This window comes from Homo sapiens, chromosome 6 (assembly GCF_000001405.40).
Source record: "Homo sapiens chromosome 6, GRCh38.p14 Primary Assembly".
NCBI lineage: Eukaryota > Metazoa > Chordata > Mammalia > Primates > Hominidae > Homo > Homo sapiens.
In genome coordinates this window covers 124,892,808-124,907,981 of record NC_000006.12, presented here as the reverse complement: position 1 = coordinate 124,907,981, position 15,174 = coordinate 124,892,808, and positions in this window count along the sequence as shown.

Below are 15,174 nucleotides of genomic sequence, written 5' to 3'. Positions count from 1 at the left end.
TACAATAGTAGGGATTCAGAGTCAGCCACTTGGAGACCAAACAACTTGCTCATGTGGTACAGCCCCATATCATTCCTGATTCCAAAATGCATCCTCTTTTAGGGATAGGTGACCATAATATTATAATGTCATCTCACTTAGGCAGAGTCATCTTCCTTAAATGAGTCAACTCATGGAAGACAAACACCAGGTGGGTATGTCTCAGTGCTCAGTGGTGATTCAAAATTTTGGGCCAAACACAGTGGCTCATGCCTCTAATCCCAGTACTTTGAGAGGCCAAAGTAGGGGGATTACTTGAGCTCAGGAGTTCAAGACCAGCCTGAGCAACATGGCAAGACTCTGTCTCTACAAAAAATACAAAAACTACTGGGTGTGGTGGTGTGGCGCATGTCTGTGGTCTTGAGAGGCTGATGCACGAGGCTCACTTGAGCACAGGAAGTTGAGGCTGCAGTGAGCCCACTGTTACATAACAGTAACAGAACTGTTTATCAGCAAAAATAGATTGCCTTGTGGAAGGTAGCATCTAGATACAGTAGAAAATAAGGAGGTAAGTTGACAAGTAGGTACTTTATATCTCAGAGCATGATCTTTTGATGATAGATAATGTTAAGTTTCTGAACTTGCAAATATGTTAATCAAATTCTGGAACATAGTGACTCCTCTTCAATCAATATACTGTACTATATAACCACTCTAAGAAGCTCAGCCTTAAAATTGTGAGCATTAACCATATTGCTATTTATTTTAAAATTACTTTAAGGCTAAAAACAGATGAATACCAAATACAGTGCATAAACTTTTATTAATTTCTCGATTTAAAAAGTGCAAGTACGCATACTGTTTAAAAAATGGGAAACTTTAAATATTGACCATGTATTTGATGATATTATTGAATTGTTATTAACCCTCTTGGGTATGGTAATTACACTGTAGATATAAAGGAGAATGTCTTTTTCTTAGGACATATGTGCCCACGTATTTAAGAGTGAAGTGTCTTGACATCTACAATGTGTTTTCAAATGTTTTAGAAAAATAAATACATATAGAGTGAGGAAAATTGTATCTTAGAACATGTTGACAATTGGTAAATCTGAGTGAAGGTTATATAGGTGTTCATTGTCTTATTCTTTCAACTCTTTAGCAGCTTTTAATTTTTCAAAATTAAAAGGAAAAGTTATATTATAAATTAATGACAACCATATCTATATTCAATGGTCTCCTTTGTTTTCTGGCATTAATTCTACTCATTTGTTTATTTACTTATGCATTTGTTCATATGATTAATGTTTACTGAGCATCTACTATGTGCCAGAAGGTAAGAATAAATAGATGAATATAGCATGGCTCCTACCATCAAATAATTCATCATAGCCTATCACTTAACAGGAAAGGCCGCATTTCAGAGTCTAAGATGCTGCAGTGACTCTCAGGAGGTGGACTACATTCAGATCAAAGGAAAGGAAGGAGTATGGATAAACATTAACATCTATTGAGCATTCCCTTTACTGCATCGAGGGGAGGTGTGTGATTAAACATGCAATTACAGTAAGGTATGACTAGTGTTCTGTTATGACTGTAAGGTGTTATGGCAGTACATAGCTGCAGGGGTCTTAACTTAGTGTGGAACACAAACTTATGGCAGAAATGGCATTTATCTAAAACTTGAAATAATTACCCAACTGGACAGTGGTGGAAAAGCCACAGTAAGAAATCTCTGGCAGTGGGAAATCATTTGCAAAGTTATTTGCAAAGTTATGATATTGAGATAGAGCACAGCACCTAAATTTATTTGTTTCAGTATGGTTGGAGCATACATTAAATGCTAGAGGAGAAGCTAGAAATCAGGAAAGACAGCAGTCAGGAGCACAATCATGAGGCATCTCTAAACCTTGATAAGGAGTTCAGCCTTCATCCTAAAAGAATGGGAGGATTTTAAGCAAGGGAATGACAGGACAGAATCTGCATTTTAGGAAGAACACTCTTCTCACACTGAGGAAAATGGATTGAGGGGGAACAATATCAGACCTAGGCAGACCTAAGGTATTGTTCGTTTTGTTTTCTTTGCCCTGAGGTCCACTTTATCTGATATTAATATAGCTCTCCTACTTTCCTTTGAGTAATATTTGCATGGTTTATCTTTTTCTACCCTTTCACTTTAAATCTGCCTATATTGTTATATTTGAAGGGAGTTTCTTATAAAAAGCATATATTTTGGTCATGTTTTTAACAAACTGTTCCAATCTCTATCTTTTAATGGGTGTATATAGGCCATGCATATTCAATGTAAATACTGGTATGTTGAAACTTAAGTCTTCCATATTTTACTGTTTGTTCTTTCTGTTGTTTTGTTTTGTTTTTCCTGCCATTCTGCAAGTAACTTAAACATTTTTTAGAATTCCATTTTGATGTACACATACCATTTTTTCGAGTATATATCTTTGTATAGCTTTTTAAAGTGGTTGCTTTATATATATATATATATATATATATATATATATATATGTATAGCCACTAAATATATATAGCCACTATATATATATATATAAATGTAAAACTTACCATAGCCTATTAATGTTGTCATTTTTCCAGTCTGAGTCAAGTGTAGAAATCATATCTGCTTTTACATTTTTTGTCTTAAATATTTCCACAATCTATATTTATAACCACATCAGATTGTTTTAATTTTTGCTTCAACAGCCAGAATTCTTCAAAAAACTCAAGAGGAGAAAAAAAGTCTACCTTATTTACCCATATTTTTGCTTACCATGTTCTTTAATTGTAATCTTTCAAAAATATTTCTTCTTTTATCATTTTATTTTTGTTTAGGAATCTTCTTTCAGGAATTTTTAAAGGGTAGGTCTGCTGATGATAAATTTTCTTTATTTTTCTTTATCTGATAATGTCTTGATTTCTTCATTCATGAGGAATATTTTTGGTGGGTATAGGATTTGGGGTTGATAATTCTTTTTTTTTTCTTCCAGAACTTGAAAAAATGTTTTCTACTTCCTTCTGGCCTGCATGGTTTCTGATGAAAAGCCTTTTTTATTTAAATTGTTTTTCCTAATAGATAAGGTGTCATTTCTGTCTCTCTGCTTTCAAGATTTTTTTCTTTGTCTTTAGTTTTTACAAGTTTGACGATTATAGGTCTTGGTATGAATTTCTTTGGGCTTCTCCTTTTTGGGGTCCACTTAACTTTTTGAATCTGTACATTTATATCTTATGCCAAATTTGGAATGTTTTTAGCTATTGTTTGTTAGAGTATTTACCAGCTCTGCTGTCTTTCTCCTCTCCCTTCAAGACTCTAATTACAGTAATGTTTAATCTTTTGTTATGATCTCAAAGGTCCCTGAGGCTCTGTTCACTTTTTGTTTAGTCTACCTTCTCTCTGTTATCCATATTGTATCATTTCTATTGATGTATCTTCAAGTTCACTGATTATTTCTTCTGTCTTCTCTATTCTGCTGCTGAGCTCTTCCACTGAGTTTTAAAATTTGGTTCTTCTGTTGTTTTAGTTCTAAAATTCACATTGGTTTTTATTTATATCTCCTACTTCTTTACTTTCTTTTATTTGCTTTTTATTGCTATTTATTATTCCATTTGAAGCAATAATTTTTATAATGGCTGCTTTAAAACCTTTTTTCAGATAATTCTAACATTTCTATTAGCTCAGTGTTGACATCTGTTGATTGTCTGGTGTATTAGACCATTCTCCCACTGCTATGAAGAAATATGCAAGACTGGGTAATTTATAAAGGAAAGAGGTTTACTTCACTCACAGTTCCACATGGCTGGGGAACCCTCAGGAAACTTACAATCATGGCAGAAGGCAAAGGAGAAGCAGGCACCTTCTTCACAGGGTGGCAGGACAGAGTTGAGTGCAAGCAGGGGAAATGCCAGATGCTTATGAAAGGGAAGAGGCTTACTACTTCCTGGTGAGGGTGAAAGTACCAGTTCCCTACTGTCATCCCTTTGACACCACCCTAGTGGGGAATGTGAGGTGGTGGTTTGGGCATCTAGCCTGAGGCTCACAAGAGTGGAAGTCTAAGCTCCCACTGGGCCTTTGCTGGCTTGTGTGGGAATGGACCATAGTTTTTTTCTGTGGTGTCTGGCTTGAACAGAGAGGTTATTGTCCAAGAATTTTTGGTTTTTCTAGCTCTTTGACTAGAGAGAACAGCTTTTTGTTGGGGGTTTTCATCTGCACCTATTGGCATTGCTATGTAGTCAGGTTCTTCAGCTCTAAGTCTGAGATCTATAAGGCAAAAGCAAATACAAAAAAAAAAAAATGCAGGGGACTCACAACATTTTTCTTCACTTCCAATGTCCCTAGCCAGTCTGCCATCTTCTCTCCCACTTTCAGAGTCTTTTTGTGTTTGTTTTATATATAATGTTCAGAAATTTTAGTTGTACTTCAGGGGAGAAATAGATAAAAGTATGTCTATTCGATTTTCCCCAAAGCGGAAGTTCCCTTTTTGTGTTCATTGAAAAGAGATATATTTAGGATACAGAATTAGCTTGACTTGATTTGTTAAATGTGGATCTTAGAAAGTGTTGTCTAATGGCCTTAGAGCAATAATGCCACAATTTTGGGCATCCCTTTATCCCAGGCCCAATATCTCTGTTTCTACGAAATCAGATTTACTTTTAGTTATAATTCTGTGTTATAATTTTAGTTATATTGCCTGTGTTGATTAAGAACATTCCAAGCACTTTGGGAGGCCAAGGCCAGCAGATCACAAGGTCAGGAGATCGAGACCATCCTGGCTAACACGGTGAAACCCTGTCTCTCCTAAAAATACAAAAAAATGAGCCAGGCGTGGTGGCGGGCGCTTGTAGTCCCAGCTACTCGGGAGGCTGAAGCGGGAGAATGGTGTGAACCCAGGAGACGGAGCTTGCAGTGAGCTGAGATCATGCCACTGCACTCCAGCCTGGGCGACAGAGCGAGAGTCCATTTAAAAACAAACAAACAAACAAACAAAAATTCCAGACTACCCCAGGGATTAAAGGTGGTAAGAGAACACTTTGGTGATATTCTAGAGTGAGGTGGAACAATTAACATACTAAGAATGAAGTACTAGGTTCTGGGCTTAAGGTGACATCAGTGGGTATCAGACTTCTTTGAAAACTGGTCTTTTTTTTCCTATGATGATCTTGCTTTATCTTAAACCATCTTAATCAGTAATTTTTTTACATTAATTTTTCTCCCCTCACTTTCTCTTTTTTGGTCATTTCCTTTCTCATAAATAAGGTAAAATTTTCTTCTACCATTGTTTTCTGTTCCTCCTAGCCTATAAAAGTATTCATAAAGTACAATTACAATATTATGTGAAATAAACGTTGTAGAAATCTGATGTGATTTATAATCATAACCAAGCCTATAAAAGTATTCATAAAGTACAATTATAGTATTATGTGAAATAAACGTTGCAGAAATCAGATGTGATTTATAATCATTTGGGGGTTGGAATAGGACTACTAGTTAGTCATGTATAAAAAAGCATTTCATTTTCTGCAATCTGGGAAATAACTATTAAATCTATTCTCTGTGATTTTCTGGCAACTTTTGCAAGAAAGAATTATGGTAGTTTTGAAAGTAAAATTTACTTTCAATATTGAAAAGATTTTTTTAAAAAATACTGTAGTAATACTAGCTTTTAATTATTTATTTAACAACTTTCTATTATCACAGAAATTAAATTTAGGATTATATATTAATTCCAGGAAAAGCAGCTGTTCTAACTATTATCTCCTTTTGGCAGAAGGATATATATAAATTCAGAGAATATAGAAGTATAATTAAAAAAAATTTTTTAACACTAGTTGGTCAGACAATTTAACATCTAAACTCAAAGTTGCTGATATAGTTGCCCCACCCAAAGCTCATGTTGAAATGTAATCCTCAATGTTGGAGGTGGGGCCTGATGGGAGGTGATCGGATCATCGGGGTGAAGTTCTCATGAATGGTTTAGCGCCATTCCTTTGATGCTGTCCTCGTGATAGTGAGAGAGTTCGAGTGAGATCTGGTTGTTGTACAATGTGGTGCAACCCCTCCACCCTGCTCCTGCTTTTGCCATGTGATGTCCTGCTCCCTCTTTGCCTTCTGCCATGATTGGAAGCTTCTTGAGGCCTCCCAGAAGCAGATGCTGCTATGTTTCTTGTATAGCCTGCAGAACTGTGAGCCAATTAAACCTTTCTTTATAAATTATCCAGTCTCAGGTATTTATTTATAGCAATGCAAGAACACCCTAATAAAGTTGCTTTTACAATATTAATAATAAGAACTTTAAGAATTTGGTTGATGTGATGGAAAGAATAGAGAGACAGCACCTCTGTGTTCCTAACCATTTTTTTTCTAGCATCAGTTTATCAACAATCTCAGAGCTCACTCAATTTAGACATAGAATAATTTGTTAAAATTGTTTCCTTAAAATCTTGATTCACATTTCTAACTTTCCTACTGTCTGTTTTAGAACTGGTGCATCTGAAGAATTTTGCTTTTCATTCCAGAAAATAGTATTTGGCTTATTACTGTATTTCATATTATTTCAGCTAAACTTCCCTCTTGATGTATGTTGAGAGCTGATTTACAGACAATATCCAGATGCAAGCAGTTTCTTAACTGCTTTCTGCCAACTTCTCATTAGCATTTAGTTGAAGTGATTCATGACAAGCATGAGTATTACCATTGATTCATTACTAAGATGAATACAATTGGCAATGTAGAGTTCAAGGGAATAGTGGAAGGACTCATGAAAAGACATGGTGTCACTGATGGAAAGTGTGGTATATGGAAGCAGGTAATAAAGGCAGCAATGGCATGGGGTGGTAATTGGTTGTTCTTGATACAAATGGAGAATTTATGATAATGAAATCTAAGTCCTAGTGATAGGCTTGTATGTTCTATGAACAAGGGGTAGGCCAGGGTAGACAGCAAGGAATGAGCAAATGGAAAGAAGATGGAAATTGGTATCAAAAATAGGTAAACTTCTAAATAAAGAGAGGTAACAGGATCACTCGAGTGTCTGTGTTAAGAATGGACTCTAGGCAGAATGACGTGAACCTGGGAGGCAGTGAGCCAAAATTGCACCATTGCACTCCAGCCTGGGCGACAGAGCAAGACTCCATCTGAAAAAAAAAAAAGAATAGACTATAGGGGAAAAGTTGAATGAAGGTTTTGAAGCCAGAGGTGATAGGATATGCTAATACAAAATGTGGAAAATGAGAGAAAAGAGGCAGTTTATTCTATATTTATTGAGTCAATATATGTATCAGACATAGTGCTAAGTATCTTGGCATAGAAAGATAAAAAAGCAGATGATCTATATGTTGGGAGCAGGCCCCCCAAAATCTAGCCATAAACTGGCCCCGAACTGTCCAGAAACAAAATCTCTGCCACACTGTAACATGTTCATAATGGCGCTAATGTCCAAGCTGGAAGGTTGTGGGTTTACGGGAATGAGGGCAAGGAACACCTGGCCCGCCCAGGGCGGAAAACCGCTTAAAGGCGTTCTTAAGCCAGAAACCATAGCATGAGCGATCTGTGCCTTAAGAACATGCTCCTGCTGCAGTTAACTAGCCCAATCTATTCCTTTAATTCGGCCCATCCCTTCGTTTCCCATAAGGGATACTTTTAGTTAATTTAATATCTATAGAAACAATGCTAATGACTGGTTTGCTGTTAATAAATACATGGGTAAATCTCTGTTCAGGGCTCTCAGCTCTGAAGGCTGTGAGACCCCTGATTTCCCACTTCACACCTCTATATTTCTGTGTGTGTGTCTTTAATTCCTCTAGCGCTGCTGGGTTAGGTCTCCCCTACCAAGCTGGTCTTGGCATCTATATATTTTTTTCAAACTTTTTACTGCAACAGTAAAAGCTAAATTTTATCTTGTGCCCTAGTACCCACATGTGTATGTTTGTGTTTGCAAAACTGAAACAAAAGTTTCAAAAAAACTATATTTACCAATGCAATATATAATAATATGAAACATAAGGTAAATTTAAAATATGACCTTAATAGTATTAAAATACAATGTTATTTTGTACTTCATTTTCAAAATGCTGGTCACAATTCATTAAATCAGTTATTCTAAAACATTTTGATCTCAGGAACTCTACTCACTTAAAAATTGCTGAGGACCATAAAAAGCTTTCTTAAAAGTTACTTGCAGCATCGAATCTAAAACTGTCAATAAACTTTAAGTACATTTTCATTAAAATTCATTGGCTTATCTTGTACTGTGAATGTATCTTTTACCCATATACGATTTTGGATTATCATGCATTGGCCGTTTGGAAAATACTGGTTCACTGAGTTATGAAGATTTTCCAAATATTTGCAAACTTCATTATATAATAGTTAAAAATCACATTTGTTAATATCACCATCTATCTCTTCCAAAGAGTCATTAAGTTTTTGGGAAGCTGTCAAGCTCACAGTGTTGGATACGTTTCTAAAGTTCCGGTTTTCCTTGAAACTTAAACTTTCTCGTGGGCAAAAATGATACAAAATAACTTTGTCCATGTTAAAGAAAATCTCAGCCAAATATCCTAGTCTGCATAACAGTAAGTGTCAGTCATTCTTGAAAGTAAAAATGGTGTTCTACCAAAAAAAGTACCTAGTTCAGCTTGCAATTGAATTGAATAATTTCTCTCAAGATAAAATCTTACTTCACTATTCCCATTTTGTCACAAAGAATATTGGAAAGATATATACTAAAGGTTGAGATTAATAATAATACTTTTTCTGTTTTTTTAAGGACATTTTAAAGTGAAAGGCATTTTTCTTTGAAACTGTGAATTACAGCAGTGAAGAATAAATACTTGGTACAGTGTGGTACCACCATTAGTGCAAATGTCAGCATAGTGGAAAAGGCAACTCGCATCTTAATATTATTATGACAATTTTGACTTCATAGATTTCCTGAAAAGTCTTGGGACCCCCAGGGCCCCATAGACCACACTTTGGGAATTACAAGTTGTTTTGACAACCCACTATCAGGTGGAAACCACAGTTTGATACACAGAGCATGCTAAGGCAGGAAATTTTGAAAGATAGAAATTTGGAGAAAATAAAAAAATCCTCGGGCTGGATTTTAATTTTGTCCCCATCCACTAAAATCATGGCTAATAATGGGATGAGATGGAATTAAATTTAAGTTTATTCAATTGCAAAGCCTTTATTCTTTCCAATATGAATGCCATCATTTCATAAGAAAATCATATCAAAAATAATTATTTTTTTCAAAAAATATTTACTTAGTATCTGCTATAAGCAAGATGCTCTTCTAGCATCAGAATCCCTGTGATTCTAGGTACAATAGATAGAGTCTTCTTTTAGTGCAGTGGTAAGAAATCTTTTTAAAAGTAGATAAAACGAGCAAAATAATACTTTAGATAGTACTAAATCCTATAATAGAAATATAGAAATGTTAGAGTGGTACTACCAAGGCCTCATACTTTAAAGGGCTCCACTGTTACCCTGCTGTCTCACCCCTGCTTACAAAGCCTCCCTGGGGCCAAGAGGCACAGGGTGAACACTCCCAGGACTGTCTGGCAAAGCAGGGAGGCTGGACTGAGCTGTACATAGATACTAGTGCAAGGCTTTTCTTTGGGATGAAGTGGGATGGGAAGGAAGGTGGGCATGGGGCAGGAGGCTGAATTTGTATTTTTGCCTTTTCCTGCAAATGTTAAGAGTAGGCCTCCAGGTAGGTGGATTGCTTGAGTCCAACAGTTCGAGACCAACCTGGGCAACATAGTGAAACCTTGTCTCTACAAAAAATACAAAAATTATCCTGGTGTGGTGGCAGGTGTCTGTAATCTCAGCTACTCAGGAAGCTGAGGTGGTAGGATCCCTTGAGGCTGGGAGGCACAGGTTGCAGTGAGGTGAGATCATGCCACTGCACTCCAGCCTGGGCAACAGAGTGAGAGCTTTTCACAAAAAAAAAAAAAAAAAAAAAAAAGTAGGCCTGAGTAAAGGGATAGACCGGGTGCTAAGTTTAGGCCTATTTACAATGGAGAAAAACAGTAAGTTATAGTCAAACATAGACTAGGCACTTTTGTAGACATCTCACCTCACATCACATCAAACACCAAAAATATACCACAGTAAATGTTAATTTTTGCTATAAAAATTTTGGGACATCTTTGTAGTTTTGTTCTTGCTAGAATTTGGCCATGAGAAACTCTCATTTAATTTATGATTTGATTTTTTTTGGCAATTTTCATGCGCGTCCGTGTGAAGAGACGACCAAACAGGCTTTGTGTGAGCAACATGGCTGTTTATTTCACCTGGGTGCAGGCGGGCTGAGTCCGAAAAGAGAGTCAGCGAAGGGAGATAGGGGTGGGGCCGTTTTATAGGATTTGGGAAGGTAATGGAAAATTATAGTCAAAGGGGGTTTTTCTCTGGTGGGCAGGGGTGGGGGTCACAAGGTGCTCAGTGGGGGAGCTTCTGAGCCAGGAGAAGGAAATTCACAGGGTTAATCACTCAGTTAAGGTGGGGCAGGAACAAATCACAGTGGTGGAATGTCATCAGTTAAGGTGGGGCAGGGCCTTTTCACTTCTTTTGTGATTCTTCAGTTACTTCAGGCCATCTGGGCGTATACGTGCAAGTCACAGGGGATGCGATGGCTTGGCTTGGGCTCAGAGACCTGACATTCCTGCCTTCTTATATTAATAAGAAAAATAAAACAAAATAGTGTTGAAGTGTTGGGGCAGCGAAAATTTTTGGGGGTGGTATGGAGAGAGAATGGGCGATGTTTCTCCGGGCTGCTTCAAGCCGGATTGGGGCAGCGTGGGAACCTAGAGTGGGAGAGATTAAGCTGAAGGAAGATTTTGTGGTAAGGGATGATATTGTGGGGATGTTAGAAGAAACATTTGTCGTATAGAATGATTGGTGATGGCCTGGATACGGTTTTGTATGAATTGAAAAACTAAATGGAATAAGAGAAGGAGAAAAACAGGTATAAAAGGTCTAAGAATTGGGAGGACCTAGGACATCTGATTAGAGAGTGCCTAAGGAGATTCAGCATAGTCCTGCCAGCAAAGATTATTTATTTACTTCAAGAGTTAAGAGTGGCAGTTTGGGGACAGCACCAGGAGATATCAGCTGTGATGGCTTGGAGAAACAGTGTAAACTGGCAGTGTAAACAAGAGCAGGGCATGTATGAGTAGTTGAGAATGGTGAATAGGAGTATGACTAGACAGAAGATAGTAGGGATGACAAGTTTTTTGGGGCACAGTCTAAGTTGGTCTGGTGTCGAATGAGACTGGGGCCTAATAAAAAGGAGCGTCTATACAGGAGCTTAAATGGGCTCTACCCTGTAGCATTCCGAGGACAGGCCTGAATTCTGAGAAGGGAAAGTGGTAAAAGTATTGTCCAGTCCTTTTTAAGTTGGTGGCTGAGCTTGGTGAGGTGTGTTTTTAAAAGACCTTTAGTCCATTCTACTTTTCTTGAAGACGGAGGACCGTAGGGATATAAAGGTTTCACTGAATACTAAGAGCCTGAAAAACTGCTTGGCTGATTTGACTAATAAAGGCTGGTCTGTTATCAGACTGTATAGAGGTGGGAAGGCTAAACTGAGGAATTATGTCTGAGAGGAGGGAAGAAATGACTGTGGTGGCCTTCTCAGACCCTGTAGGAAAGGCCTTTACTTATTCAGTGAAAGTGTCTATTTAGACTAAGAGGTATTTTAGTTTCCTGACTCAGGACATGTTGAGTAAAGCTAATTTGCCAGTCCTGGGTGGGAGCAAATCCTCGAGCTTGAAGTGTAGGGAAGGGAGGGGGCCTGAATAATCCCTGAGGAGTAGTAGAATAGCAGATGGAACACTGAGAAGTTATTTCCTTGAGGATAGATTTCCACAATGGAAAGGAAATGAGAGGTTCTAAGAGGTGGGCTAGTGGCTTGTACTATAGCATAGCCTGCCTTTGCTGGTGTGTGGCGATTAGGCCTGGTGGAACTGCCATCAATAAATCAAGCGTGATCAGGGCGAGGAACAGGAAAGAAGGAAATATGGGGAAATGGGATGAATATCAGGTGGATCAGAGAGATACAGTCGTGGGGGTCAGGTGTGGTATCAGGAATAATGTGAGAGGCCAGATTGAAGTCCGGGCCAGGAAGAATGGTAATTGTGGGACTTAAAGAGTGAGTACAGCTGAAGGAGCCGGGGAGCAGAAAGTATATGCGTCAGGTATGAGGAAGAAAATAGATTTTGGAAGTTATGAGAAATGTAGAGAGTGAGTTGAGCATAGTTTGTGATTTTTAGGGCCTCTAACAGTATTAAAGCAGCGGCAGCCGCTGCACGCAGACGTGAGGGCTAGGCTAAAACAGTAAGGTCAAGTTGTTTGGACAGAAAGGCTACAGGGTGCGGTCCTGGCTCTTGTGTAAGAATTCTGACCGCGCTAACCATGCCTAGGAAGGAAAAGAGTTGTTGTTTTGTAGAAGGTGCTTGGGTTTGAGAGATCAGTTGGACACGATAGGCAGGGAGAGCACGTGTGTTTTTATGAGAATTATGCCGAGATAGGTAACAGATGAGGAAGAAATTTGGGCTTGATTGAAGTAATGGGGGCTGTCTGTGAAGCTTTGCGGCAGTACAGCCCAGGTAATTTGCTGAGCCTAATGGGTGTCAGGGTCAGTCTAAGTGAAGGCAAAGAGAGGCTGGGATTGAGGGTGCAAAGGAATAGTAAAGAAAGCATGTTTGAGATCCAGAACAGAATAATGGGTAGTAGAGGGAGGTATTGAGGATAGGAGAGTATATGGGTTTGGCACCACGGGGTGGATAGGCAAAACAATTTGGTTGATAAGGCGCAGATTCTGAACTAACTTGTAAGGCTTGTCTGGTTTTAGGACAGGTAAAATGGGGGAATGGTAAGGAGAGTTTATAGGTTTTAGAAGTCCATGCTGTAGCAGGCGAGTGATAACAGGCTTTAATCCTTTTAAAGCATGCTGTGGGATGGGATGTTGGCATTGAGTGGGGTAAGGGTGATTAGGTTTTAATGAGATGGTAAGGGGTGTGTGATCGGTCACCAAGGAGGGAGTAGAGGTATCTTATACTTGTGGGTTAAGGTGGAGGATACGAGAGGAGGATGCAAAGGAGGCTTTGGATTGGGAAGAAGGGAGGCAATGAGATGAGGCTATAGTCCAGGAATAGTCAGGGAAGCAGATAATTTGGTTAAAATATCTCGGCCTAATAAGGGAACTGGGCAGATGGGGATAACTAAAAAGAAATGCTTAAAAGAGTATTGTCTAAGTTGGCACCAGAGTTGGGGAGTTTTAAGAGGTTTAGAAGCCTGGCCGTCAATACCCACAACAGTTATGGAAGCAACGGTAACAGGCCCTTGAAAAGAAGGTAATGTGGAGTGGGTAGCCTCCGTATTGATTAAGAAGGGGACAGGCTTACCTTCCACTGTGAGAGTTACCCGAAGCTCGGCGTCTGTGATGGTCTAGGGGGCTTCCGAGGCGATCGGGCAGTGTCAAGTCTTCAGCCGCTAAGCCGAGAAGATCTGGGAAGGAGTCAGTCAGAGAGCCTTGGGCCAGAGTTCCAGGGGCTCTGGAAGTGGCTGCCAGGTGAGTTGAACAGTCCGATTTTCAGTGGGGTCCCACACAGATGGGATGTGGCTTAGGAGGAATCCCGGGCTGCGGGCATTCCTTGGCCCAGTGGCCAGATTTCCGGCACATGTAGCAAGCTCCTGTGGGAGGAGGTTCTGGAGGAACGCCTGGCCGCTGCCGTTCAGGCATTTGGAAGTTCTTGTGTGCTGGAGATGTGGCTGGGGTTTGTCTCACAGTGGAGGCAAGGAATTGCAACTTTTTTCTATTATTGTACACCTTGAAGGCGAGGTTAATTAAATCCTGTTGTGGGGTTTGAGGGCCAGAATTTAATTTTTGGAGTTTTATTTAATGTCGGGAGCAGATTGGGTAATAAAATGTATATTGAGAATAAGACGGCCTTTTGACCTTTTAGGGTCTAGGGCTGTAAAGTGTCTCAGGGTTGCTGCCAAACAAGTCATGAACTGGGCTGGATTTTTATATTTCATGAAAAAAAGCCTAAACGCTATCCGATTTGGGATAAAGAAAAAGGAGCATTAACCTTGACTATGCCTTTAGCTCCAGCCACCTTTTTAAGAGTAAATTGCTGGGCGGGAGGGGGAGGGCTAGTCACGGAACGAAACTGTAAGCCGGACCAGGTGTGAGGAGGGGAGGTGATAAAAAGATTATAGGGTGGAGGAGCAGAGGCTGAGGAAGAATTGGGACCTAGCTCGGCCTGGCGAGGAGGGGAGAGGTCAGATGGGTCTGTAGAAAAGGAAGATTAGAAAGACTCAGCGATGCTTGGGGTTGGGACTGAGGGGACAGGCGGGAGGGAAAGAAGGAAGATTTGGGATGAGTTGCACTGGGCACAGAGACTAGGAAGGGACTGATGTGTAAAAGAATGCCTGGACGTCAGGCACCTCAGACCATTTGCCCATTTTACGACAAGAATTATTTAGATCTTGTAGGATGGAAAAATTGAAAGTGCCATTTTCTGGCTATTTGGAACTACTGTCGAGTTTGTATTGGGGTCAAGTGGCATTGCAGAAGAAAATAAGGCATTTAGGTTTTAGGTCAGGTTGTGTCCGGAATTGGTGGGTTCTTGGTCTCATTGACTTCAAGAATGAAGCCGCGGACCCTCACGGTAAGTGTTACAGCTCTTAAGGTGGCGCATCTGGAGTTTGTTCCTTCTGATGTTTGGATGTGTTCGGAGTTTCTTCCTTTTGGTGGGTTCTTGGTCTCGCTGGCTCAGGAGTGAAGCTGCAGACCTTCGCGGTGAGTGTTACAGTTCTTAAGGCGGGGCGTCTGGAGTTGTTCGTTCTTCCCAGTGGGCTCGTGGTCTCGCTGACTTCAGGAGTGAAGCTGCAGACTTTCGCGGTGAGTGTTACAGCTCAAAAAAGCAGTGTGGACCCAAAGAGTGAGCAGCAGCAAGATTTATTGCAAAGAGCGAAAGAACAAAGCTTCCACAGTGTGGAAGGGGACCCGAGCGGGTTGCCAATGCTGGCTCGGGCAGCCTGCTTTTATTCTTTTATCTGGCCCCACCCAAATCCTGCTGATTGGTAGAGCTGAGTGGCCTGTTTTGACAGGGTGTTGATTGGTGTGTTTACAATCCCTGAGCTAGATACGAAGGTTCTCCACGTCCCGGTCAGATTAG